Source organism: Homo sapiens, chromosome 15, assembly GCF_000001405.40.
Source record: "Homo sapiens chromosome 15, GRCh38.p14 Primary Assembly".
Taxonomy (NCBI): domain Eukaryota; kingdom Metazoa; phylum Chordata; class Mammalia; order Primates; family Hominidae; genus Homo; species Homo sapiens.
In genome coordinates this window covers 29,688,987-29,715,169 of record NC_000015.10, presented here as the reverse complement: position 1 = coordinate 29,715,169, position 26,183 = coordinate 29,688,987, and the positions used below count along the sequence as shown (strand labels likewise).

Here is a 26,183-nt window from a genome sequence, read left to right as displayed (position 1 = left end):
CCTCAACAGAACAAAACCCACAAGAACAAAAACAGATGTGGATTTGTCATTAGGAATTCATTTACATTTACAGTGTTACAGGAATTCATTTACACAGTTATCACAGTAACATCTAAATGGTGACTAGCCTAAAGTGAGCTAGGCACTGAGCCATAGGAGCTCACCTTTGGTAAGGCAGAAGGGTGTACCCTTTAGTTATTATTTTTACTAAACACCGTTAAACACATTCATTCCTGTCAGAAGAAGGCTCAGGTGTTTAGTTTAAAGATATCTCTTATTTATCGTTTTACATATTTGGTAAATAGAATACAACCTTAAAAAGATTATATGGCCAGGCGCAGTGGCTCGTGCCTGTAATCCCAGCACTTTGGGAGACCAAGGCAGGCTGATCATGAGGTCAGGAGATCGAGACCATCCTGGCTAACACGATGAAACCCCATCTCTACTAAAAATACAAAAAAATCAGCGGGGCGTGGTGGCGGGCTCCTATAGTCCCAGCTACTCGGGAGACTGAGGCAGGAGAATGGCGTGAACCCGGGAGACAGAGCTTGCAGTGAGCCGAGATCGTGCCACTGGACTCCAGCTTGGGCAACAGAGTGAGACTCTGTCTCAAAAAAAAAAAAAAAAAAAAAGGCTGGGCGCAGTGGCTCACGCCTGTACTCCCAGCACTTTGGGAGGCCGAGGTGGGTGGATCATGAGGTCAGGAGATCGAGACCATCCTGGCTAATATGGTGAAACCCTGTCTCTACTAAAAATACAAAAAATTACCTGGGCATGGTGGCAGGTGCCTGTAGTCCCAGCTACTCTGGAGGCTGAGGCAGGAGAATGGCATGAACCCGGGAGGCGGAGCTTGCAATGAGCCGAGATCGCGCCACTGCACTCCAGTCTGGGCGACAGAGCCAGACTCATCTCAAAAAAAAAAAGGAGTATATTTAGGTCTAAAAAGTAAGTTGTTTTGCCAGGGAATCAATCAAAATGCATGTTTGCTTTCTGTGTTAATTTGTTTTTCTAGAAAGAAGACTTAGCTTATTTGTGATGTATAACTTTAGGGTGTAGAACATTGCCTTGCATGCAGTAGGGGCTCAGTAATTGTTGAGTGAATGAAGCTCAAAACAGGGCATGGTATACTAGGTGCATCCACCACCCTTCTTTTCATTAACACAGCTCTGGAAGGAACCTGTATTACCTGGTCATTGTTTTCACAGGGATATATTGTGAAACAGATGACATCTGTCTTTGTGAATTTACTCAGAACTCAGTTTGATTTTACTCCCTGCTGCTGTGAGAGAGAAAAGTATAGTTTGGGCTGGATACCAGTATACTTTTTTTTCCTTTGTAGTGTGAAATTGAAACTCTTTATAATTGTGCTGCATTTTCCCATATAGGTATTTAATGGTTAGAGAAATGGAAAGGAGAATAAGGGTCATGGAAGATAACTAAGAGGGTAGTTGTTTCTGTAAGTTTCCCTTGTAATGCTTTTTCATACTCTTGTCCAATGAGTACAACTTCATCAACTGGAAAATAGCTTAAAATATAGGATTCTGTCCTGCATTTCAAAACCATTTACTGTTTGTCACTAAATAAGACTGCCTTCAGGCATTTCTTTCTTTCAGTAAATACAGGAGTAGCAAAATTTTCTTCCTTCAGATGATGTGTGCTTATGCTTCACTTAAAAACACACCTCAGAAATGGTGAGAATTAGATATGGAAAATAATCTTTGTTAGCACAGGACAGATGCCCCAGGAAGCAAGCAGATATTACCCAGTCTAACAGTTCCATAGAGCTGGATTAGAACTGGAAAGGTTAGGAGACAGTAGCTTAGACATTCACCTCCAAAGTAAATTAGAAGTTTCCAGGATTCTAAAACAGTGCAAGAAGAGCAGTGTCCCTCCAGGGCTGTGCACATGTCTCAGTCCAGAGATTGAGTCAACTTCTTCAGGACAACCAGGGATTTTTTGTTATCAAATCTACCTTTCAGGACTCAACTCACTATGTGAGACTTCCAGGTCTCAATAAATGATGGTGGTTTGTAGCTTTTAAAGAACTAAATGTGAGAGACTGATGTTCAGTTGTTTTTGTGTTTGTGAGACATCATTAGATGAGAGAGAGCCTGAGCATCAAGCATGCAGCTTCACCAGTAAGACTCCACCACCACAGGGCCCAGCTTACGATTGGAGATGGAGGAGGTCTTGCTAGAAAGGAACATGTGAAGCCTGGCCAGGTTTCAAGCCAGGCATATTTCTATCTCTCCATTTACCATTCCCCTCCCAGGGGCTCAATGTAGCTCTTCTGTTGTGTTACTTTTTCCTGTGTCTTCACTTGCAGAATTTCTTTGCCCAGCCTTTTTTTTTTTTTTTTTAATGGGACATGTCACTCCCACTTATTCAGAACCTGCTAATTATCCTTGATCACCACTCTTTGATTTGATAAATTTCTTTGCTCACTATTAGCAGCTGCAACAGAGGTGGAGAAGGAGCAAAGTTCAAACACATTGCTTTTCACTGCAGTAACAGTTAAAGTACATGAAGGATGGGCCAGCAGACGGGACATAACTAAGTGATTGTGTTTTATTTATCTTCAATTTCCTTGGCCAAATGAGAGTTAGTGATATGTTCCTTTATAGACCAAATTATGGTGAAATGGTGGATGTTGGTTGATATTTTTAAATGACATTTGAGTTCCATTTGCTGCAAATTTACTTAGTTAGATTGACCATTTTCTTTCATTTTTCTATTGCGCTTGCTTTGCCATCACCTAGATTTCTTGGCTCTTACACTAGCTATGACTACTTGAAAAGGAACGTCAAGTGGTAAGACTGGCAATTAATGTGAGGCTGTTCCATAAGGTGTCCCTCACTGTGTCACTGGCATTATGTGCACTTTCAGATTTTAATGTCATCATCAAGGGCTTAGTCTAAATTCATGAAAGCAAGATAAAAAAGCCAATCATAAGACTTCTTCAATGAAAATTTATGAAAATGACCAGGAGTATTCCAAATGTATATGTTATTGTTGGTGCACATAAAGCTAGTGCAGCTTTGGCATTCAGCAGTAAGGTTTAGATGGCAATGTTGCAATTATGGGTCTTTTAAAAAGATTTGTGTGAATTTTGTGTTACATATTAACAATTGGCAATCTGAAAAAATAAACATACATGGCACAATTTGACTTAAATGAACCTTGTAAAATAAAGCAGGATCTGCTGCTCTAGCAGTCATTTAACCAAAAAATGGACCTGGTAACTCAAGGGGAAATTTTAAAGTAAAAGCTCCAGTTTTTTTAGTTTTACTGAAACGCAGATATGCCCATTGTCTGTGGCTGCTTCAAGGCTATAACCGCATAATTTGAATAGTTCTAACAAAGACTGTATGGGCCAAAAGACCACAAACATTTACTCTCTGGTGTTTCAGTGAAAAAGTTTGCCAACCCCTAGTCTGTGACATCTGTTTTTATGGTGCTCCGAGTATGCCAGATGCCAGATACAAAATCAGAAGTGGGTCTAGGGCCGGGTGCGGTGGCTCATGCCTGTAATCCCAGCACTTTTAAGAAGCAGAGGCAGGCGGCTCACTTGAGGTCAGGAGTTCAAGACCAGCCTGGACAACGTGGTGAAACGCCATCTCTACTAAAAGTACAAAAATTAGCCAGGCGTGGTGGCTGGCATCTGTAATCCCAGCTACTCGGGAGGCTGAGGCAGAAGAATCACTTGAGCCTGGGAGGCAGAGGTTGTGGTAAACTGAGATCGCGCCACTGCACTCCAGTCTGGGCGACAGAATGAGACCCTGTCTCAAAAACAAAAAAAGTGGGTCTCAGGAAAATTTGTGCCATGATATGTTTTCAGAATATTTGCAAGACTTTCTTAAATCTGTCAACATTACTATCTTTTGTAAATAACAATTAAACTATACCCAAAATTTCACCTGCCTTTGGTTGCCATCTTCTGGATGTTTTACTAATATTCTTAAAGTTTTTGTGTGTCTGGACATTTCTTGTGCCGATGAATGGTCGAATCTGTTTTTATATTTTGGTAGAGTAGCTACCCATACTCATGAGAATAAATTGTGAAATTTCTAGTTTTTTTTTTTAACTTAGAGATACATGGAGAAATGAGAACTTGTTTTGTAAATGTGAGTCCATTTTCAGGTGTTGGCATTTTCTTCATTTGTTAACAGGGGAAAGCCTCCTGAAGCTGATGGTGTGGATAGATCATTTGGCGAGAAACGCTATGAACCCATCCAGGCCACTCCCCCTCCTCCTCCATTGCCCTCGCAGTATGCCCAGCCATCTCAGCCTGTCACCAGCGCGTCTCTCCACATACATTCTAAGGGAGCACATGGTGAAGGTAGGAAGTTCGGAAGTAGACATTTTAACACAGTAATGCTTATGAAGTAAAATTCTGGTGGTTTCTAGGCAAAATGGTTTTTACATTAAAAAATACATGCTTGAAACCTTTGGGCTGGGAACAGTAAAAACTAAGAATTTTGTTAAAAGTATGTCTCCTGTTTTTACAAGACCATTATTTTGGACAAGCCTTTTAGCTAAACAGATTTTAATCTATTTTATGCTAGTCTCTAAATCTTCTGGAAGTAGTGTTTGCCAGTATATGTAAAGATGGTTTGTAAAACCTACTATGTTTTATCTCACACACCCAAATAGAAAAGCCATAATGTTTCATATAAAATGTATCCCATACACCTTGACTTTTGCATTTACATACCAGGTAGATCACATATAGCTCCAGATTATTCATCTTAAGAGCTTTGTAACATTTTACCCTCAGCATATAACACAAAGTGGTTATCTCTTCTGCTGTGGACAGGCATTTTCCTAGCACAGACTTCTCTTATTATTCCCTTAGGAGGCACCTCCTTGGGCTTGTGAGTCTTCAAGCAGATGTGTTATAGTTCTGGATTGAGGCTATCTTTTATTAAGATTTTTTTTCACACATGCCCATGTTTACAGATAAAGACAGTTTTAATTCTTACTTTCCAGTCCTTATGCCTTTTCTCTTTTTTTTTTTCCTCTTTTTGAGACGAAGCCTTGCTCTCGCCCAGGCTACAGTGCAGTGGCGCAGTCTCAGCTCACTGCAACCTCTGCCTCTCGGGTTCAGGTGATTCTCCTGCCTCAGCCTCCTGAGTAGCTGGGACTATAGGCGCACACCACCACGCCCGGCTAATTTTTGTATTTTTTGTAGAGACAGGGTTTCATCATGTTAGCCAGGCTGGTCACGAACTCCTGACCTCAGGTGATCCGCCCACCTCGGCCTCTCAAGAGTGCTGGGATTACAGGCATGAGCCACCGCACCTAGCCTTCTTTCTTTTCTTGCTGATTGCACTGGCCAGGACCTCCAATAAACTCTGAAATGTAAGTGGTGAAATTGGACCTCTTTTGCTAGTTCCTGATTTTAAGGAGGAAGGACCTCATGTTTTATCCTTTAGAATGTTAGCTCTAGGATTTTCGTAGATGTCCTTTATCATGTTTAAGACATTCCCTATATTCAGAGTTTGCTGAAAGCAGTCAGATGTTTTTCCTGCATGTATTAAGATGACCATATGATTTTTCTTCTCGTACTGTGGAAAATTATATTACTATATTCATGAGGTATTTGGATTAATAATTCTCCTGTCTTGTAGTGTCCTTAATTATTTCACAGAGTTCAGTTGGTACTGTGTTACACTGTGGCTGGCAGTGCATAAAAAATCCTGTGGTTCCACTTTTTAACCAATGTTTGGCATCATCAGACTTTTCGGTTTTTCCATTCTAGTGGGTGTGAAATAGTATTTAATGCTTTTTGTTGGTTTTGTTTTACATTTTTCTAATTAATAGTGAGTATCCTTATTATATGATTATTGGGCATTCTAGTTTTCACAAAGACTAGTGCCAATCTTTGGAGGCCAGGAATCTTAGCAGCTGGACCCTGACTCCAGGGCAGCAGGGTATATATATTCATGGCACCACCTGTCCATGCTGCCCTCATCCCTCAGCATCACACCTAGCCTCCAGGGCTCAAGAGTCAGGCTCTGGCTGTGCGACCCACATTTGGGCCTCGACTCCAGCACCAGGACAAGTTAAGCTGGGACAGGGCTATTATAACTTTTTTCAGAAAGTTATTTAAATGCTTACGTTTGTTTTTCAGGTAATTCAGTGTCATTGGATTTTCAGAATTCCTTAGTGTCCAAACCAGACCCACCTCCATCTCAGAATAAGCCAGCAACTTTCAGACCACCAAACCGAGAAGATACTGCTCAGGCAGCTTTCTATCCCCAGAAAAGTTTTCCAGATAAAGCCCCAGTTAATGGAACTGAACAGACTCAGAAAACAGTCACTCCAGCATACAATCGATTCACACCAAAACCATATACAAGTTCTGCCCGACCATTTGAACGCAAGTTTGAAAGTCCTAAATTCAATCACAATCTTCTGCCAAGTGAAACTGCACATAAACCTGACTTGTCTTCAAAAACTCCCACTTCTCCAAAAACTCTTGTGAAATCGCACAGTTTGGCACAGCCTCCTGAGTTTGACAGTGGAGTTGAAACTTTCTCTATCCATGCAGAGAAGCCTAAATATCAAATAAATAATATCAGCACAGTGCCTAAAGCTATTCCTGTGAGGTAAGACTTATGCCTTTGCTCAAAGCATTGGCCCTGTGATTTTTCTCATGTGAGTTTGTTGTAGTTTATTTGACTTGGGACTTTAAAGTGATCTTTTTAACTCAACCTTTAAACTGAAGAGTGTTGTTGCAATGAATGCTGTTACATAGAAGGTCCTCCAGGAGGTACAAGATGTTGGTAAAATAATAAAGCTAACAGTCGTGTATGGTTGGTAGGTATTGTCATCATCCCTGTTTTACTAAGAACTGAGGTTGAGTGACAGTAAGCAGTTTGCCCAGGGTCACAGCTAGAGTGAGGTGAGCCTCAATTTAGCTGCTGGTCATCCGACCTCTGAGCCCATGCTTTTTTTTTTTTTTTTTTTTGAGACAAGAGTCTCCCTCTGTCGCCCAGGCTGGAGTGCAGTGGTGCGATCTTGGTTCACTGCAACCTCCACCCCCTGGGTTCAGGCAATTCTCCTGCCTCAGCCTCCTAAGTAGCTGGGACTACAGGTGTGTGCCACCACGCCTGGCTAAATTTTTTGTATTTTTAGTAGAGGTTTTCACCATGTTGGCCAGACTGGTTTTGAACTTCTGATCTCAAGTGATCCATCCGCCTCCACCTCCCAAAGTGTTAGGATTACAGGCGTGAGCCACTGCACCCAGCCAGGAGCCCATACTCTTAACCAGCCATGACCTTTTGTAACCTCCTGACCTACTGGTAAGGTGCATGTGGAGGACATCTAAAAACATTAAGTATCTATGTTCCTCATTCATTATTTGTTCCACAATGATGCTAAGAAGAAAAATAGAATAACCTCTGACTGTTTAAAGAGCAGCAGTTAGTGAGATGGCTGAGCAAATGAGACAAAGTGAGCCCACCTGGAGCCTCCCTGCAGCTCCTCTTTCCTGTCTTTCATTCCACGGCGATTGACCAGATGGATTCTGGCCATACATAAAAGCTCATCTCAGCCTCCTACAGCCAGTTCCATTTTCACGCCACCATAAAGCAGAAGCACTTGCAGGCAGGGAGAACCAAAGGTCAGGATGGCCACCTGAGTCTGCTTTCCAAGAGAAAGGATGGTTATGGCGGTCACTGCCTTCCTAGCTCTGCACATCCACAGATGGTCAGGGGCGGACAGAGCTGGCCTCTGCTCTGCAGCTCAGGCTGCGCTCTGCTCCCTTGATGTTGTGTCGTAGGATGTCGTCCCTGGCACTCCGGTCATGCTGGAGTGAAACGGCAGCTACCTTCATGTAATTCTGTTTCGTTGGTCTTTCTGCTCACCTTTGAGCCCTGGCTCAAAACTGTACTTTCAGGAAGTTGATAGCCTCTACTTTTGAAGCAGTCATTGATACCACATCCCCTTTGCCTTTGGCGTTCTGTGATTACTAAGTTAATCTACTGTCTCTCTTTCGTGGATGTTTGGGATATGCCCATACAAGGGTCTTCGCCTCATGGAACCTTGGAAGCCTTGCCTCCTACAGCCAGAGCGGGCGCTTGGTCCTCAGGGAATGCTGAGGCAGGACCATACTCAGGCACACTTAAAATCCTAGGGAGATTTTATCAAGTCTGAGATGCTGTCAGCCGTGAGATGCACCATTGTTTTGTGTCACTAAAAATGGAAGAACAGCCAGGCACGGTGGCTCATGCCTCTAATCCCAGCACTTTCGGAGGTTGAGGCGGGCGGATCACTGGAAGTCAGGAGTTCCATCCTGGCCAACACGGTGAAAACCCATGTCTACTAAAAATACAAAAATTAGCCGGGCATGGTGGCAGACGCCTGTAATCCTAGCTACTCAGAAGCTGAGGCAGGAAAATTGCTTGAACCTGGGAGGTGGAGGTTGCAGTGAGCCAAGATTGCACCGCTGTACTCTAGCCTGGGTGACAGCAAGACACTCCATTTCAAAAAACAACAGGAAGGGAAGAACAGGGCTACCAATTAAATTGTGACTTACCAGTTTTAAAGTTCCAATTTCATGGATTTTAAAATGTGCTTCATAAAACTCTGTACCTGTTTAGTATCCCTTGTCCAAACTTCTTGGGTTCTGAAGTGTCTCATATCTTGGGTTTTTTTGGATTTTGGAATATTGCCAAAATGCTCCAATGAGCATTTCCTTTGAGCTTCATTTTGACACTCAAAAAAAAGTTTCCGATTTTGGAGCATTTCAGATTTTCAGGTTAGGGATGCTTCACCTGTAGTTGGGTGTTCAAGGCATCAGATTTTACACTTTCAGGTTGCAATTCATTAATGAAGGTCGTTTGACTAATTGCCTTCAAAAATTGAATTTTTGACATTTCTCTAGAATTTTTGAAATTTTCTAGAATGGAATTTCTCTAGAAATAATATTCTCGCCAGGCGCGGTGGCTCACGCCTGTAACCTCAGCACTTTGGGAGACCAAGGCAGGTGGATCACGACGAGATCAGGAGTTTGAGACCAGCCCGGCCAATATGGTGAAACCCCATCTCTACTAAAAATACAAAAATTAGCCAGGCTTGGTGGCGTGCGCCTGTAGTCCCAGCTACATGGGAGGCTGAGGCAGAAAAATCACTTGAACCTGGGAGATGGAGGTTGCAGTGAACCAAGATTGTGCCACTGCACTCCAGCCTGGGCGACAGAGTGAGACTCTGTCTCAAAACCAAACAAACAAACAAAAAAGAAATAATATTCTCTGCGATAACCCTGTCAGTAAAATCTGTTGCCAGAAACTTATCTTGTTAAAGTAACTTCTTGATTATATGGAGAAATAAAAGTGAAAGCACGTAATACAGTAGTAGTAAAAGCAAAGCACCTGTGTATTATTAGGAATTCACTCACTAGCCATTTCTGAACTTTCAGTCCTTCAGCTGTGGAAGAGGATGAAGATGAAGATGGTCATACTGTGGTGGCCACAGCCCGAGGCATATTTAACAGCAATGGGGGCGTGCTGAGTTCCATAGAAACTGGTGTTAGTATAATTATCCCTCAAGGAGCCATTCCCGAAGGAGTTGAGCAGGAAATCTATTTCAAGGTCTGCCGGGACAACAGCATCCTTCCACCTTTAGATAAAGAGAAAGGTAAATGTGTTTATTTTTCTCCTTAGTTTTGATAACTTAAGAGTTGCCCTGTGTGCACTTCAGAGCTTATAGTGCTTGGCTAATAATGCAGCACCTCTCTATCTCCAGATGAGTGCTGTAGCGAGGGGTGCCCTGGGGACGGTGTTGCAAGCAAGCAGTGGGTGGCCTGAAGCAAGGCTGTGGTGACCACACTGCCTGCTTTTACTTTTGGTGTGAAATAAAAAATGATGGCATAGGACAGGCCACGGGATGTCTCACCTGCTGAGCAGCCTAGGCTGACCTAACCAAATTTGTCTTTGAATCAGTCAGCCTTTGCGTCTCTGGAGATGGGTTAGGTAACACCCACTCAGAAAGGCTTTGCTGTGCCTTCACCTGATTGGAGAACCTAAACCTCTTGACAGGTACTGTCTTATTCATCACCCCAGAACCTAGCACTAGTACATGCTCAGCAGAGTGCATGAAGGAGTCTCAGAGGAGATGACAGCATGTTTCTGAGCTTCTTAAGGAAACTTATTTTCATAATCCTCCTGGATCTACCAGGATATTATAACGAAGTGTGTTGTGATTTAGCATCTTTTAGCAGTGCTTTTACTTCCTAAACAAATTTAGTTCGCTTTTTTGTATTTTGCCGGAATACTGACATCTGATTCTGTACTCTGATTTTGGGGATATCCTGTTTTAAAAACCAGTAGGACTGACTGTGTTGGCCCTGCATGAATCTCTTTAACCACCTATGGAGCAAACAAAACATTTTGAAAATGGAAAATATATCACATTCGCAACAAGCACATTTGAATATGTTTTTTATTATAGACCCATATGATTGAATGCAGTAGCCACTGCCTGCACGTGGCTAGCTAGCACTTGAAGTGTGACAATTTGGGATTGAAAGATGCTGGAAATGTGAAATACACACCAAGTTCCAAAGATTTCATATATTGATTACATGTTGAAATAACAGTGTTTTCGTTATATTGAGTTAAAATATTAAAATATTGTAAGATTTGATATCACTTGTTTCTTTTTACTTTCTAACGTGGCTACTGGGAAATTTAAGATTCCATATGTGGCTGCTGTTACGTTTTTTTGTGGTCAGTGCGACTGTAGAGAACTAACTCCATTAGGCTTTCAAGCATATAATTAGAAGCAGGGTGAGGAAAACTGGGATTCTAGAAGAAAGACCACATCCATCCTCTCTGCCTATCCCCTTTTCCAACTCCAGGTGAAACACTGCTGAGTCCTTTGGTGATGTGTGGTCCCCATGGCCTCAAGTTCCTGAAGCCTGTGGAGCTGCGCTTACCACACTGTGCGTCCATGACTCCTGACGGTTGGTCTTTTGCTCTAAAATCATCCGACTCCTCGTCGGGTATGCTGTCTTCACTCTGTCCTTTGGGAGCTTTGGGGACTGTCGTTGATTAATACCTGGGCTGATGATGCTGCCCATGCTGTGTGTTAGCAAATCTCTATCTCTGTTCCTGTGGCCTTGTAGGCATCACCAGTGTTTTCACATTTATTTGTGGTGCATATATTGTAAATAAATATGGAAAGGTAGAAGACTTTCTGCCTTTTAAAAATTGATAATTTGGGCCGGGCGCCGTGGCTCATGCCTGTAATCGCAGCACTTTGGGAGGCTGAGGCAAGTGGATTACCTGAGGTCAGGAGTTCAAGACCAGCCTGACCAACATGGTGAAACCCCATCTCTACTAAAAATACAAAAATTAGCCAGGCGTGGTGGCACACACCTGTAATCCCAGCTACTCGGGAGGCTGAGGCAGGAGAATTGCTTGAGCCAGGGAGGCGGAGATTGCAGTGAGCCAAGATCGTGCCACTGCACTCCAGCCTGGGCAACAGAGCGAGACCGTCTCAAAAAAATTTTTTTTTGATAATATGGCCAAATATTGACTATTTCTTGGTGTTCAGAAAAATGATTTATTCTGTCAAATTTTTCAGGATGCAGTGGGAGATATTGTCCTGCACAAATAGGCATTTTTACCTTATTAAAATGACTTTGTTCCTTTATATAACTATTTCTATTTTTGGTTACTATTGTTTAATTTATTTTTTGTTTGTTTGTTTTGATTTGGTTTTTTGAGGTGGAGTCTCGCTCTGTCGCCCAGGCTGGAATGCGGTGGCACGATCTCAGCTCACTGCAACCTTCGCCTCCCAGCTTCAAGCGATTCTCCTGCCTCAGCCTCGATTACAGGTGCCCACCACCATGCCTGGCTAATTTTTGTACTTTTAGTAGAGACGGGGTTTCACCATGTTGGCCAGGCTGGTTCGAACTCCTGACTTAAAGTGATCCACCCGCCTCGGCCTCCCAGAGTGCTGGGATTACAGGTGTGAGCCACCGTGCCTGGCCTGTTTAATTTCTTAATCTACAACGTATGTATACCAGAGAAACTTAACAAGATCTTCCGTTGTGATCATACTTGGCCATGGTTTTTCAGTGTAATACTCTAAATTACTTCTTTTATACACTATTTGTAAATGACTTTTTCTCCTGAGATAATTTCAAAGCTTCCACTGCATTTTCACATTTCTCACTTCCTTGAGTGACTTAAGTCAGTTAATAATTAGAATTTTATTTTGGGTGTAGATCACTTTAAGCGAACCTGATTTAAAGTCTAGCTTCCAAATCTTTGATAAATCAGATGAGCATTATTTAGTTTTAGTTTGGTACAGTATGAAATAAAAGTTTGTGGTCTAAAGATTATAGCAAGAGCATATTTTAATGTTATCAGAGGAAAAAATTACATGTAAATACATATTTCCTCATATTTACAAGTACCCCATTTTCTGGAAAAATGAAATGCTTTTGGCTCCAGATATTGCTTAGGTAATGTCTAACGTACTGTAAGCAAAGTTCTCAGCTGGCACTGTTGACATTTTGGCCAAATGATTGTTGTAGGGCCCTCCTGTTCGTCGTGGAATATTTAGCAGCTTCCCTGGGCCTCTACCCCTAGATGCCAGTGGTAACAAGCAAAACTGTCTCCAGATGTCCCATCAGGGGCAGGGTCATTCCTGTTTGAGAGCTACTTCTGTAAGGGAAGCAAACGTCCACAGCTGTGACTCTCAGCTTGCTTGGACACCACAGAGACATATAGTCGTCCCTGCCTTCACATCTAATAGAAATCACCAAGAGCTTATTAAAAACTTAAATCCTGAGACCTAACTAACACCCAGTCAATGAGTTTTTGAAGCTGCATGATTAATTTTGTTGTCCAGCTGGAATCAGAGCTGAGCAGCTCTGGTGCAGTCTCGTTTTTTTGCTTGTTTTTTGTAAGGGGGAAGACAGTCTTCAAGAACTAGATTCTGCAGAACTGGGCTTCATTTGTTGGTTTATAGTTGAGTGTGAGAAATGTGTCCTCATTCTCAGCTCAAATAGGTGATCACATAATTATCCTCCAGACTTTCGAAACTGGAAAAAAAAAAAAAGTGCTACTGATAATTATGTGGGCTCTGGCAAACTGGGACTGTCCCAGGCATAAGATTGCCATCACTCACTTGTATTCATTTTTTGAAAAGGCCAATGCACTTGATAATGTAATAAAGGAGAAGTCTGAAAATTAAAAACAAAAAACAAAAAACTGTTCTTAATGGTGTGAGTTAGAAAGAACGTTTTAAAAAAAATTTTTTTAGAAGTGTGAAACACCTTTGGAATTGTTAGATGCCAGCAGATCTGCTTTGAAATACAGCAATGTGTTTTGATACAAATTCAATATGCTGAAGAAACAGAAGAAAATTATGTCTAAATATACGTATTTGCCCTATAATTGCAAAGCATTACGGATAGCAGTTTACTGAACTGTAAATGACATCAACTTCTTTTCTCTCATAGGTGATCCTAAAACCTGGCAAAACAAGTGTCTTCCCGGAGATCCAAATTATCTCGTTGGAGCAAACTGTGTTTCTGTCCTTATTGACCACTTTTAACTCTTGAAATATAGGAACTTAAATAATGTGAAACTGGATTAAACTTAATCTAAATGGAACCACTCTATCAAGTATTATACCTTTTTTAGAGTTGATACTACAGTTTGTTAGTATGAGGCATTTGTTTGAACTGATAAAGATGAGTGAGCATGCCCCTGAACCATGGTCGGAAAACATGCTACACACTGCATGTTTGTGATTGACGGGACTGTTGGTATTGGCTAGAGGTTCAAAGATATTTTGCTTTGTGATTTTTGTAATTTTTTTATCGTCACTGCTTAACTTCACATATTGATTTCCGTTAAAATACCAGCCAGTAAATGGGGGTGCATTTGAGGTCTGTTCTTTCCAAAGTACACTGTTTCAAACTTTACTATGGCCCTGGCCTAGCATACGTACACATTTTATTTTATTATGCATGAAGTAATATGCACACATTTTTTAAATGCACCTGGAATATATAACCAGTGTTGTGGATTTAACAGAAATGTACAGCAAGGAGATTTACAACTGGGGGAGGGTGAAGTGAAGACAATGACTTACTGTACATGAAAACACATTTTTCTTAGGGAAGGATACAAAAGCATGTGAGACTGGTTCCATGGCCTCTTCAGATCTCTAACTTCACCATATTACCACAGACATACTAACCAGCAGAAATGCCTTACCCTCATGTTCTTAATTCTTAGCTCATTCTCCTTGTGTTACTAAGTTTTTATGGCTTTTGTGCATTATCTAGATACTGTATCATGACAAAGACTGAGTACGTTGTGCATTTGGTGGTTTCAGAAATGTGTTATCACCCAGAAGAAAATAGTGGTGTGATTTGGGGATATTTTTTTCTTTTCTTTTCTTTTCTTTTTTTTTTTTTTTGACAAGGGGCAGTGGTGGTTTTCTGTTCTTTCTGGCTATGCATTTGAAAATTTTGATGTTTTAAGGATGCTTGTACATAATGCGTGCATACCACTTTTGTTCTTGGTTTGTAAATTAACTTTTATAAACTTTACCTTTTTTATACATAAACAAGACCACGTTTCTAAAGGCTACCTTTGTATTCTCTCCTGTACCTCTTGAGCCTTGAACTTTGACCTCTGCAGCAATAAAGCAGCGTTTCTATGACACATGCAAGGTCATTTTTTTTAAGAAAAAGGATGCACAGAGTTGTTACATTTTTAAGTGCTGCATTTAAAAGATACAGTTACTCAGAATTCTCTAGTTTGATTAAATTCTTGCAAAGTATCCCTACTGTAATTTGTGATACAATGCTGTGCCCTAAAGTGTATTTTTTTACTAATAGACAATTTATTATGGCACATCAGCACGATTTCTGTTTAGATAATACACCACTACATTCTGTTAATCATTAGGTGTGACTGAATTTCTTTTGCCGTTATTAAAAATCTCAAATTTCTAAATCTCCAAAATAAAACTTTTTAAAATAAAGTGCTGGCTTGGTCTGTTTGCCCACTGTTTTCTAGTTTCATGCAGCTTTATAATCCTGTTTTAAAATCCTGCACACAAATCCCTATCACCCAGCGTCACCTACCACCTCGTCGTCTGGTGTTGCATGCAGAATTTCTCCCCTTGGCCAGCATGTACAGATGGGTGGGCAGTGCTCATCTGAAGGGCTCAGACTGAAGTGGGGCAGAAGGACCTGGAGACAGAGTGGGAGAAGGCAGCAGGCCGACTTCCCCCTGTGGGTAAACACACACCCCTGCGTGGAGAAACACCCCTGCATGGGGACACACGTGCGTTTGTGTGTGTGCGTGTAACCATTTGTATATGGTTTTATTCCCCAGATAAATAGCACGGGCATTGTTTAATGTCACCCACATTTGGGGGAAGAAAATGGGTTTAGTGAGCATAAATATTCCATTGTGGACATCCTACTTACTTAACTGCCACCCCTGTTGACATTTGGATTATTGCTATAGTGTTTCAGTAAACACCTTTGTGGACTGAATCCATCTATGTGGATTTTATTTTTTTCATCTTTGTTAAGGTATAATTTACATAGAGTAAGTTACTGTTTTTAAAATGTATAGTTCAAATTTTGACAAACACATACTGTTTATTTACCACGGTTAATACATACAACAGTTTCTTTATCTTCTCTAATCATTTGTACCCCTTTATACTCAACCCTTCTTCCAGCCCCTGGCAGGATGATCTCTTCTGTTTCTATAGTTGCCTTTTTGACAGTGTCATATAAATGGAATCATACAATATGTTGCCTTTGAGTCTGGCTTATTTCACTTAGCATGATGCATTTGAGATTCATGTATGATGTTGCAGGTTCTTTTTTATTGCCAGGTGGTATTCCATTGTGTGGCTGTACCAGAGCTTGTTTATCCATTCCCCAGTTAAGGAACTTCTGGGTTGTTTCCAGGTTTGGGAGATTATTAGTAAACTGCTATAAACATTTGCGTACAGGTTTTTGTGTAAACGTTACTTCATTTCGCTTGACTTCAGTTTGATGAAGTCTAGTTTAATCAGTTTGTTCTTTCATAGATTATGCTTTTGTCATATCTTCACTAAGATGTTCTATCCTAAGAGAAATCTTCACTTAGCCCAAAGTGTAAAGACTTCTCAAGTTTCAGAATTTTTTGTTTTATATTTATGTCTGTGATCCACTTTGAGTTAACTTTATGTGTAGTATGATATAGGTGTTGAGTTTTCTGTTTTAAATGTGTCCTTATTGTAAACACAGACACACATATATAAGGCCTAAATAAGACAGTTTTCATTTAGATAAATTAGGGAAACAATTTATTGTGAAAGGGACACAACTCAGTAAGTCTGTTTTTTGTCCCCCTACCTTTTAGTATGTGGCATGAACACCTGGTCAGGTGTAGATACCTAGAGCTCCTTCCTAAGGACATTTCTGTTGCCTAACCATCTTCCCACAGCACTGAGCATGGTGCAGTGAGTTCATTCAGATGGCCAAGCTTTAGGGTCAGAATTCTGCTTTTGCCCTTCCCCTATACTAACGTTACAATCAACAGAAGGCTTAGTGAACATCCACTAATGCTGCGTGAGTCAGTTCCTCCTCTTGACCTCTGAGCAAGTACTTAATGCAGTACACAAGGCACTGAGCAGATGGAGATGACTCAGGTGAGGAGACACAGACGTTGACACTGGGTGGCTTCCGTCTAGACAGGGAGCAGTTGGCTAGGAAGGGATGTGGCAGTAAATGCAGGAAGGCCACCTAGCAGGCAGATGGGGAGTAAGTTTTCGGTTTTCTTGACTCGCAGTTTGAAAACCATTTACTGGATGGGAAGCCAGGCTCTGTTTTCCGTCCAATTTGCAGAAAGCAAACCAGAGAGCTGTGTACACAGATGCATCCGGGCACACGTTACTGCGGCTGCCCAGCAGCCCTACATGTAGAGAGTGACCTGGCACTCTGTTTCCAGGCTGCTTAGCCGGGTTTCCCCAGATGGAGTGTGGGAAGACACATTGTTGATGTGCTGATTTTTACAGAACCACATTGTTGTCTCCTGATCAATTTGATCACAGCAAAAACTCAGTGGCATTTTTGACTCTTACCTACTCGTGCTTTCCTTTGGAACTACTTGACAGTGAAGGAGCTGTTGCCCAAGATGCAGGAATACCATTTGGTTTAGGGGAGGGGTTTTTTGTTTGTTTTTGGCAGGGGAATTCACTAGGAAGGTATATATTAAACTTGGAAGATTTCTAGTTCAAAACTAAAATGCATAAAACTTTAAATGTTTGTTTTCCATTTCCATTTTGTAGATAATTAGGGCTTTCTTTACCAGTGACCATGAAGGTGCCCCCTAGTGCTTGTTTCTCCCAGCTGATGGGTGTTCATTCAGGTTAGCCAGAAGTTGACACAAACAAGGTGCTCAGAAGAGAGGTCTGTAACCAACTACGACAAGCCTTCCACATTCTGACACTCTCCCTTCCCTCCCTTTGCACCATAGGCTGTTCTGAGGGAATTGTGTCCATAGTTGTCTAGGAAACCACGTGCCAATAAAGACAAAAATTGAGTTTTGTTGCACCAAGTTTTCTGCCTACTGGCGCAATGCCAGGCAGGGAAGATGTGTAAGGTTTTCACTTGGTGCATGAGAGAAGTGCACCTCGTGAGACGCACTAGAGCCCCCATGTGGAACGCCCTCCTCTGGCACTCACCCGCGGAAAAATAGGAAGAGGTGGGTGCACAGGTGGTGATTTTAGCGTGTTTTACCTTGGCTTGATTGTCACCGTAAAGTTTTGAGGTAGTTTGATCTATTTGTCCACATAGCACCTCCTGGTCTTAAGTGGATTTGAAAACATGCAGGTATAAATCATTTCATACCCCCTTAAAAACAGAGAAGGAAAGAAAATGTGGAAACTGACATGTGGTCAGTATGCTGCTGCTGTTTAGTGTTGAGGGGCGTGCCAAGTATTCACCCTAGCAACTCTTCATTTCTTGTCAGTGGGGGTGTGGCAGAAACCGGCTGGAACGACGGCAGTGGGGTTCCTAGAGAGGACTTTGAGGACATGGGGTTTCCCAGAGCACTTCTGAGAATGAGTGTCTTCCATGTTGGATAAGGACAGCTTGAAGATGAGCAGGAACCAAGTGGAAAGCATGAAGGTTGAGACCCAGGGAGCAGCCCCAGTCTTGATACCTACCAAGCAGCGGTTGCCGTTGTAGTGGGAAGCTGAGGGCTTTCAGAAACATTTGAAACCGAGTGCTTTAAAGCAAAATTGAGTTTCTTTGCAGCCTGCTCTTCAGTAGAGGACACATGCACCAAACAGTCCCAGGGCTTCATTGGTTTTTTTTTCCTGGAGACGGAGTCTCGCTCTGTCACCCAGGCTGGAGGGCAGTGGGGCAATCTCGGCTCACTGCCCCACCACGCTCGGCTAATTTTTGTATTTTTAGTAGAGATGGTTTCACCATGTTGGCCAGGCTGGTCTCAAACTCCTGGCCTCAAGTGATCCGCCCACCTTGGCCTCCCAAAGTGCCTGGATTAATTACAGGCATGAGCCACTGTGTCCGGCCCATTGGTTTCTTCTTGATAGGCCCAGGGAGGAGGGTGGAAGCTTGGTCAGTAGGATCCAGTGCTGCTGCCCCTGGGGGACAGGATTTGGTTCTTATGTTTTTGAATATTTAAACTCAGTTGAAATGCTCCCACCAAGCCTTGAGGAGTTGCTCCCCAGTTTTAGCAACCATTAATGTGCCACATTTATGACAGCACAAACTGCAAATTTTCCAAGGAAGCATCTTGGACCTGAGTCCTCTTGAAACACTTTTGTGGCCTTTCCAAGGAGGACCACGGGAAACACAGGGCAGGCACCAGGAGGAAGCAGAAAGTGGATCTGCGTCCACCGTCTTGACGACTTAGTGGGATAGAGGCAAAAAGAACCCTGTGCAGGGAGGGCAGGACTAAACCGAAGGCCCTCACCTCAGTCAGGGAACCAGGAGAGCACAGCCTCCAGCCCATCACAGCCCAGCAACTTAAGTGTCCACCACCCAGGCAGGGGAAAGGTTAGTTTTTATTTTTTTTTAGCATATTTTCACGCTCAGTTGCAACAACACAGCATTTGCGAGAATAATACAGAGAACTTCCCTTCTGCCCTTGACCTAGACTCCCTGAGTGTTGCCAATTTTCCACCTGTGCAGTGCACTCTAGGTAGGTAGGTATGTAGTCAGCTGGGGCTACGGTAACAAAATACCACAGACTGAGTGGCTTAAACTGAGTGGCTTAGATCAGGTCCAAGATGCTTCCTTGGAAAATTTGCAGTTTGTGCTGTCATTTATTTATTTTCTCATCGTTTTGGAGGCTAGAAGGTGCCAGCATGGTCAGTTTCTATTAAGGGTTCTCTTCCTGACTTGTAAACAGCCACCATCTCTGTGTCCTCAGTGGGCTGTCCTTGATACATGCACATGGAGAGAGCAGACACGCCCTCTGGTGTCTCATGAGGATCCTAATCCTGTCAGATCAGTGCCCACCCTTAGGACCTCATTCAACCTCAGTTACTTCCTTAGAGACCCCATGTCCAAATGCATCCACAGTGGGGGTTACGAATTTTAAGGGATATAAACATTTCTGCCCATAACAATATTCTTCTGAATCATTCGAGCATAAGGTTGAAGACATGATGCATATTACCTAAGAACAAGAGTCTTCTCTTATATAACTACACTACACTTAACCTCAGAAAGCATTACAAGAATTGACTTTGGCTTCATCTATTTTCTTCTATTGGCTCTCTGTTTTTCATTGCGTGGAGTTTGCGCTAGTCTTTATTATTTCTTTCCTTCTACTTGCTTTGGGTTCAGTTCTTTTTCTAATTTTTGAAGGAGGAAGCTGGGTTTAGTGATTTCAGATATTTTTAAAATAGGCATTTTAAAGCTATAAATTCCCTCTAGATACTGTTTAGCTGTACTTCATAAATGTTGATATTTTTACATTTTCATTTAGTTCAAAATATTTTCTATTTTCCTTGTGATTTAACCCCTGAGTTATTTAGAAGTAATTTTTAAAATTTTCAAATATTTGGGGCTTTCCCAAATATCTTTCTGTTGTTTTTAATTAATTTTATTCTGATGTGAAAACATACTTTGTGTTATTTGAATCCTCTTCATTGAGGCCTTTTTTGTGGTCGAGTACAAGGTCTATCTGGAGAATGCTGCATGTGCTCTTGAAGAGAATGTGTATTCTGTTGTTGGGTGGGGTTTTTTATAGATAGAGGAGAAGTCAAGTTGGTTGCTGCTGTTCTTCAGGTCTTCTGTATCCTTGCTTGTTTTCTGTCTAGTTATCTCAGTTACTGAGAGTGGGGTATTGAAGGCTCCAACTATTATTGCATTGCCTTTTTCTCCCTTCAATTCTGTCAGTTGGGTTTTACATATTTTGGAGCTCTGTTGTTAGAAACATGTATGTTTATATTTGCTATATCTTCCTTTTGACCATTATGAAATATCCCTCTTTGTTTCTAGCAATATTATCTGTCTTAAAGTCTATTTTAACTGATATTAGAATATCAGTTAAATTTTCTTATGGTCCCTGTTTGTATGGTATATCTTTTTTCATTCTTACTTAGTTTTAAGGTATTTGTGTCTTTTAATCTAAATGGTGTCTCTTTATACAAAACATGTAGTTGGATCTTGTTTTATTACTATCAATTTCTGCCTTTTGATTGGAGTGTTTAATCCCATTTACATTTAATCTAACTATTGTTATGGTTTAATTTCTTCCTGCCACTTCTCTATTTATTTAAAGATTATATGACTTAGGCTTTTTTGTTCTTCTTTCTCCTTTATTGCTCTCTTTATTCCTAGAGCAACCAATTCCAACAAAAAAGTAAGAATGAAGCAATAAAAAAGGAATTAAAAGCATACTAGAAAATATCTATATACAGCATATAAGAAATATAGGTATTTTCTACTATGCTGGGGTTAAATGCAGGTTATCTTCTGGTGTCATTTCTTTTCAGCCTGAAGGAATTCCTTTAGTATGTTTTATAAGACAGATCTGCTTGTATTGAATTTCTTCAATTTTTGTTTATTTTGTCTTCACTTTTGAAGGATAGTTTTGCTAGCTAAAGAATTCTTGGTTAATAAATATTTTTCCTACAGCACTTTGAATATGTCATTTTAATGTCTTCTTCACTTGAGACAGCTGTTAAACGTAGTTCTTCCCTTGTATGTGATAAGGTTGTGGGTTTTTTTTTTTTTTCTTTGCTGTTTTGAAATTTTATCTTTGTCCTTCAACTCTGTATGCATCTAGCTATAGATCTCTTTCTGTTAATCCTATTTGAAGTTTGTTGTGCTTCACTGGTGTATTTTTCATCAAATTTGGGACTTTCTTGCTATTATTTGTTCAAATATTTCTTCCCTTTTCTCTCTTTTCCTTCTGGGACTTCTATGACATGTATTTGGTATGCGTGATGAGTCCCAAATTTAGGTCTGTTTTTCAGTTTATTTTTCTTCATTTTCTTTTCTTTCTATTCTTCAATTTGGATGGGTTTTATTAATCTCCTTTCAAGTTCACTGATTCTTTCTCCTGCCAAATCAAATCTGCTATTAAACCCTAAATATTTCAGTTATTGTACTTTTCAACCCCAGAATTTCCATTTGATTTTTTTTTTTTTTTACAATACCTATCTTTTTATTGATAGTCTGTATTTGATGAGTCATTGCTCTTAAAAATGGGCTGGGCGCAGTGGCTCATGCCTGTAATCCCAGGACTTTGGGAGGCTGAGGCGGGCGAATCACCTCTCACTTGTTCGAGATCAGCCTGACCAACATGGTGAAACCCTGTATCTAGTACAAATACAAAAAAATAGCCTGATGTGGTGGCATGTGCCTGTAGTCCCATCTACTCCGGAGGCTGAGGCACGAGAATCGCTTGAATCCAGGAGGCAGAGGTTGCAGTGAGCCGAGATCGTGCCACTGCACTCTAGCCTGGGTGACAGAGTGAGACTGTGTCACTCCAAGAAAAAAAAAAAAGTCACATCAAATTAAAAGAAACGGTTTCTTTTAGGTCTTTAAACATTTTATCATAGCTGCTTTGAAATCTTTGTCTACTAAATTCAAACATCTGGGCCCCATCAGACAGTGTCTATTGATAGCTTCCTCCCAGCTTCCTCCCGACTTACCACCCAAATAGGGATCACACTTTCCTGTTTCTTTGCATGTCTCATAATTTTTAAAACTGGACACTTTATGTAATATTGTAGCAACTCTGGATTCTGCTCCTTCCCCTTACCCCCAAGGGACTGTTGCTGTATTTTTGTTTTAGTGACTTCACTGAACAAATCCTGTAGAATCAGTCTCAACCTCAGTGTGCAGCCACTGATGTATCTGTTCAGTTTGGGGTTTTTATTATTGTTGTTGTTGTTGTTATTTTCAACTCTAGCTTCCTCTAGTGGTTGCCTGTGGGTTAGCATATGTGGTCAGCCAATGATTGGTCAAATGTACTTAAACACCTTTAACCACTAAGGCTTCCACGCTTCGCCAGTGGATTTGTGTGTGGTTTAGGGAATGCATTTGGAGTTGAGGCAGTGTTACAAATGTGCCCCAGCTTTCACAGTCTGTCAGGTTTCACATCTCCTCTGCACAGGCACAAGGCCTCATGTTCAGCCAGAGATATATAGTCAACCCCCGGCATCAACAGGGGATTTGTTCCAGGACCCAGAATTTGATCCCACAGATATTAAAACTCACAGATGCTCAATTTCCTTACATAAAATAGAATAGTATTTGTATATAACTTGTGCAGTCCTCTCACAGACTTTAAATCATCACTGTGTTACTTATCATACCTAATACAATGTAAATGCTATATAAATAGTTGTTACACTGTATTGTGTATTTGTATTTTCATTTTTATGGGTACTGAGGTGTACATATTTATGGAGTACATGAGATATTTTGATACAGGCATGCAATCTAATAATCACATCAGGGTAAATGGGATATCCATCACCTCAAGCATTCATTGTTTCCTCATGTTGTAAACATTCCAATTATGCTCCCTCAGTTATTCTAAAATGTACAACTAATTATTGCTGGCTATAGTCACCCTGTTGTGCTATCAAATACTAGATCTTATTCGTTGTATCTAACTATATTTTTGTACCCATTAATCTTTCCCATTTTCCATGCTCCCCCACTACCCCATGTATTATTATTTTTCATTGATTTTTGAGGCAGAGTCTCACTCTGTCACCCAGGCTGGAGTGCAGTGGCACCATCTCGGCTCACTGCAACCTCCCCATCCCAGGCTCAAGCGATTCTCCTGCCTCAGCCTCCCTAGCAGCTGGGACTACAGGCGCCTGCCATCACGCCCAGCTGATTTTTATATTTCATGTAGAAACAGGGTTTCACCATGTTGGCCAGCCTGGTTTTGAACTCCTGGGCTCAAGTGATCTGCTCATCTTGACCTCCCAAAGTGCAGAGACTACAGGTGTGAGCCACCTCCCCTGGCCATTTTTTAATATTTTCAATCCATGGTTGGTTGAATCTGCAAATGCAAGGCTGACTCAATGGATAGCGGGGACTGTGCAGTCTCTCCTGGGTATTGTGCACAGCCCTGCACATGCACCTGGTCTTCCAGACTGCCATGGACATGTGGGCACTTATCAAGGCCCACTATGGTTCTCATTCTCCAAATCTCCCAGATTTCTGGCTAGTCTACTGGTCCGATGTTTGCCCAACTCAGATTACCACATCAGGCTAGCTACAATATTGACCTTTCCCAAGATTGCCACTATTCCTGCTTCAAATCCAGCCAGCCCCACAGGGCAGTAAAGCTGCTGGGCTCCATGGCATGCCCTGCCTAGCAGATTTACACAACTGAGGTGGGAAGTGGGGCTATGAGAAGCCCAGGCAAAAATGCCATTTCTCATGCAGGGGTTTTTTCCTTAAGTAAACATGTCTCAACATGCTGTCTGCTTTTGGCTGTTTTCCAGTCCTGGAATGATGGTTTTGACCATTTTATCCAGTTTTGCTGTTACCTTTTAGGGAGAGGATTTGCCAAACTCTTTACTCTGCCGTTCCAACTCCAGCCTTAGGAGATGTAACATGCATGCATGCATCTGGTCTCCTACCCATATTCCAGTTAGACATTTGACCCACTGACACCCTGTAGAGCACTTCCCCTCAGTGAGACCCAGCGCAGGGCCCATGTTGCCTGCACGTGCCACATGTCTTCAGTCTCCTTCACCTGAGCCAATTTCTCAGGCCAGTCGGGGTTTCAACAGTGGTGAATTCAATTACTCTAGGAGCAATAGGTTATTAAGACTCGTTTGATGTACATTTTGCATATGGTCCAATTCAGAAACACTTCAGGAGCACCTGCTATCCTCCAGACAACGTGGTGACAGGACCCTGACCTACCTAGGGAAGGACAAGTTCCAATGGTCTGCACAGTCAGCACACAGTACGACCCTCAGCAGGGAATGTGGGGTCTTTCCAGGCTGTGTGTGGGTGCCAGGGGCTGCAAACCACAGGAAGAGGTAGGGCCAAATGTCCTGGGGAAGCACCTTTCTCTAACTTCCTTCAGAAAGGCAGGTTCCTATGGGGTTCAGTTCTTGGGATACCAGCTTGAGATCTCAGTCCAGTGTCAGGGTCCATTTAAAAATGAGAAACTTCTGGGAGGCCAAGGCAGGAGGATTGCTTGAGCCCAGGGGTTCAAGACCAGCTTGCACAACATAGACCCTGTCTCAAAAAAAAAAAAATTTTTTTTTAGATGAAGTTTCGATCTTGTTGCCCAGGCTGAAGTGCAATGGCACCATCTCGGTTCACTGCAACCTCTGCCTCCAAGGTTCAAGCGATTCTCCTGCCTCAGCCTCCCAAGTAGCTGGGATTACAGGCACCCACCACCACGCCCAGCTAATTTTTTAAATATTTTTAGTAGAGGCGAGGTTTCACCATGTTGGCCAGGCTGCTTTTGAACTCCTGACCTCAAGTGATCCAACTGCCTCAGCCTCCCAAAGCGCTAGGATTACAGGTGTGAGCCACCATGCCTGGCTCTCCCCCAAAAAATTTTTAATTAGCCAGGTGTGGTGGCACATACCCGTAGTCCCAGCTACTCAGGAGGCTGAGGCAGGATGATCGATTGAGCCCAGCAGGTCGAGGCTGTAGTGAGCCGTGATCGTGCCACTGCACTCCAGCCTGGGCAACAGAGTGAGACCCTGTCTCAAAAAATAAATAAATAAAGACGAGAAACTGAGACACAGAGAGTCCCATTGGCTGACACACACACAGAGGTGGGCAGAGCCAGGGCAGGCACCAGGATCCCCTGACTGCCAGTACTCTTCTCAAGATGCCAATCAGGGCAACAGCTCCAGAAGCACAAAAGGGACACCACACGTGTGCTTCATGTCATAACCAGGCAGGATTCCTTAGGGAACACTGAGGCAGGGCAAGACTTAAAACACAACTTCCCAGTCCCAGGGTAGGCCCCAGGTGGAGCTGGCAGGGGGACGCGGTCTCACAGTGGGAGCAGGACCCATCAGTGTCCACCCAAGTGAAAACTCTCTGTCTCTGTGGCCATGGGCTGGGGCCATGAGCCCTGAAGGGCCTGGTCTTCCCCTGGTCATGTACCCCTCTGGCCCTTGCTGTGGGTGATGTGTTCTACAGCCTTACCAGCCTCAGTTTCCCCAAGCATACACTGGGAGGCCATGAAGGAAAAATAGGTGGAAATACTCCAAGGCCTCCCGGGGTACTTGAGTACCCCAGTAGATGCAAGGACAGATCACCATGAGGGTGGCAGGGAGCCAGGGAACCTGGAGCCCATGAGTGCCCTAGGCTCCTCCGTCCCCACTCCAGGGTGCACTTGAGGAGGGAACTCTGCAGCTGGGCAGGCAGCCTGTGCCCGCACTCCCACCTTCTAGAAAGACAGGCTCCTGGCAGCACAGGGCTGGGCTGGCATGGCGGATCCATTCCCTGACTCCTTACGGAGCGCCGGGCTCACTCAGGAGCAGGAGGTATCCACACACCACCTCTCACAGGACAGGGCCATGACCAACCCAGAGAGGGAGGGCTCCAGCGCGTGCACACCCAAGCCTCGGAGGAAAGTGGAGCAGGACAATACGGTGCTGGACCACCGGGCTCACGCCCTCCCTTCCCCCTCCCCTCATCCACGCATGCTCCAGCACAG

At 42.5% G+C, this 26,183-nt stretch overlaps 1 protein-coding gene across 30 annotated transcripts in view; it reads left to right on the top strand.

The window, feature by feature from the left end:
* Window positions 1–15,803, top strand: part of TJP1 (tight junction protein 1) — a 269,683-nt gene extending 253,880 nt beyond the window's left edge. For 7 of the 30 annotated variants that reach the window (XM_017022524.2, XM_017022521.2, XM_047432986.1 and 4 more), the window contains 6 exons: window positions 2,760–2,810; window positions 4,170–4,339; window positions 6,134–6,611; window positions 9,425–9,642; window positions 10,865–11,008; window positions 13,481–15,803. In XM_017022524.2, coding sequence (XP_016878013.1) covers window positions 2,760–2,810; window positions 4,170–4,339; window positions 6,134–6,611; window positions 9,425–9,642; window positions 10,865–11,008; window positions 13,481–13,575 — 1,156 coding nt within the window. In that variant the 3' untranslated portion in view covers window positions 13,576–15,803. The remainder of the gene's footprint in view (window positions 1–2,759; window positions 2,811–4,169; window positions 4,340–6,133; window positions 6,612–9,424; window positions 9,643–10,864; window positions 11,009–13,480) is intronic. The other 23 variants (XM_047432984.1, XM_011521972.3, XM_047432990.1 and 20 more) reach the window with 6 other exon arrangements.
* Window positions 15,804–26,183: the final 10,380 nt, after the last annotated feature.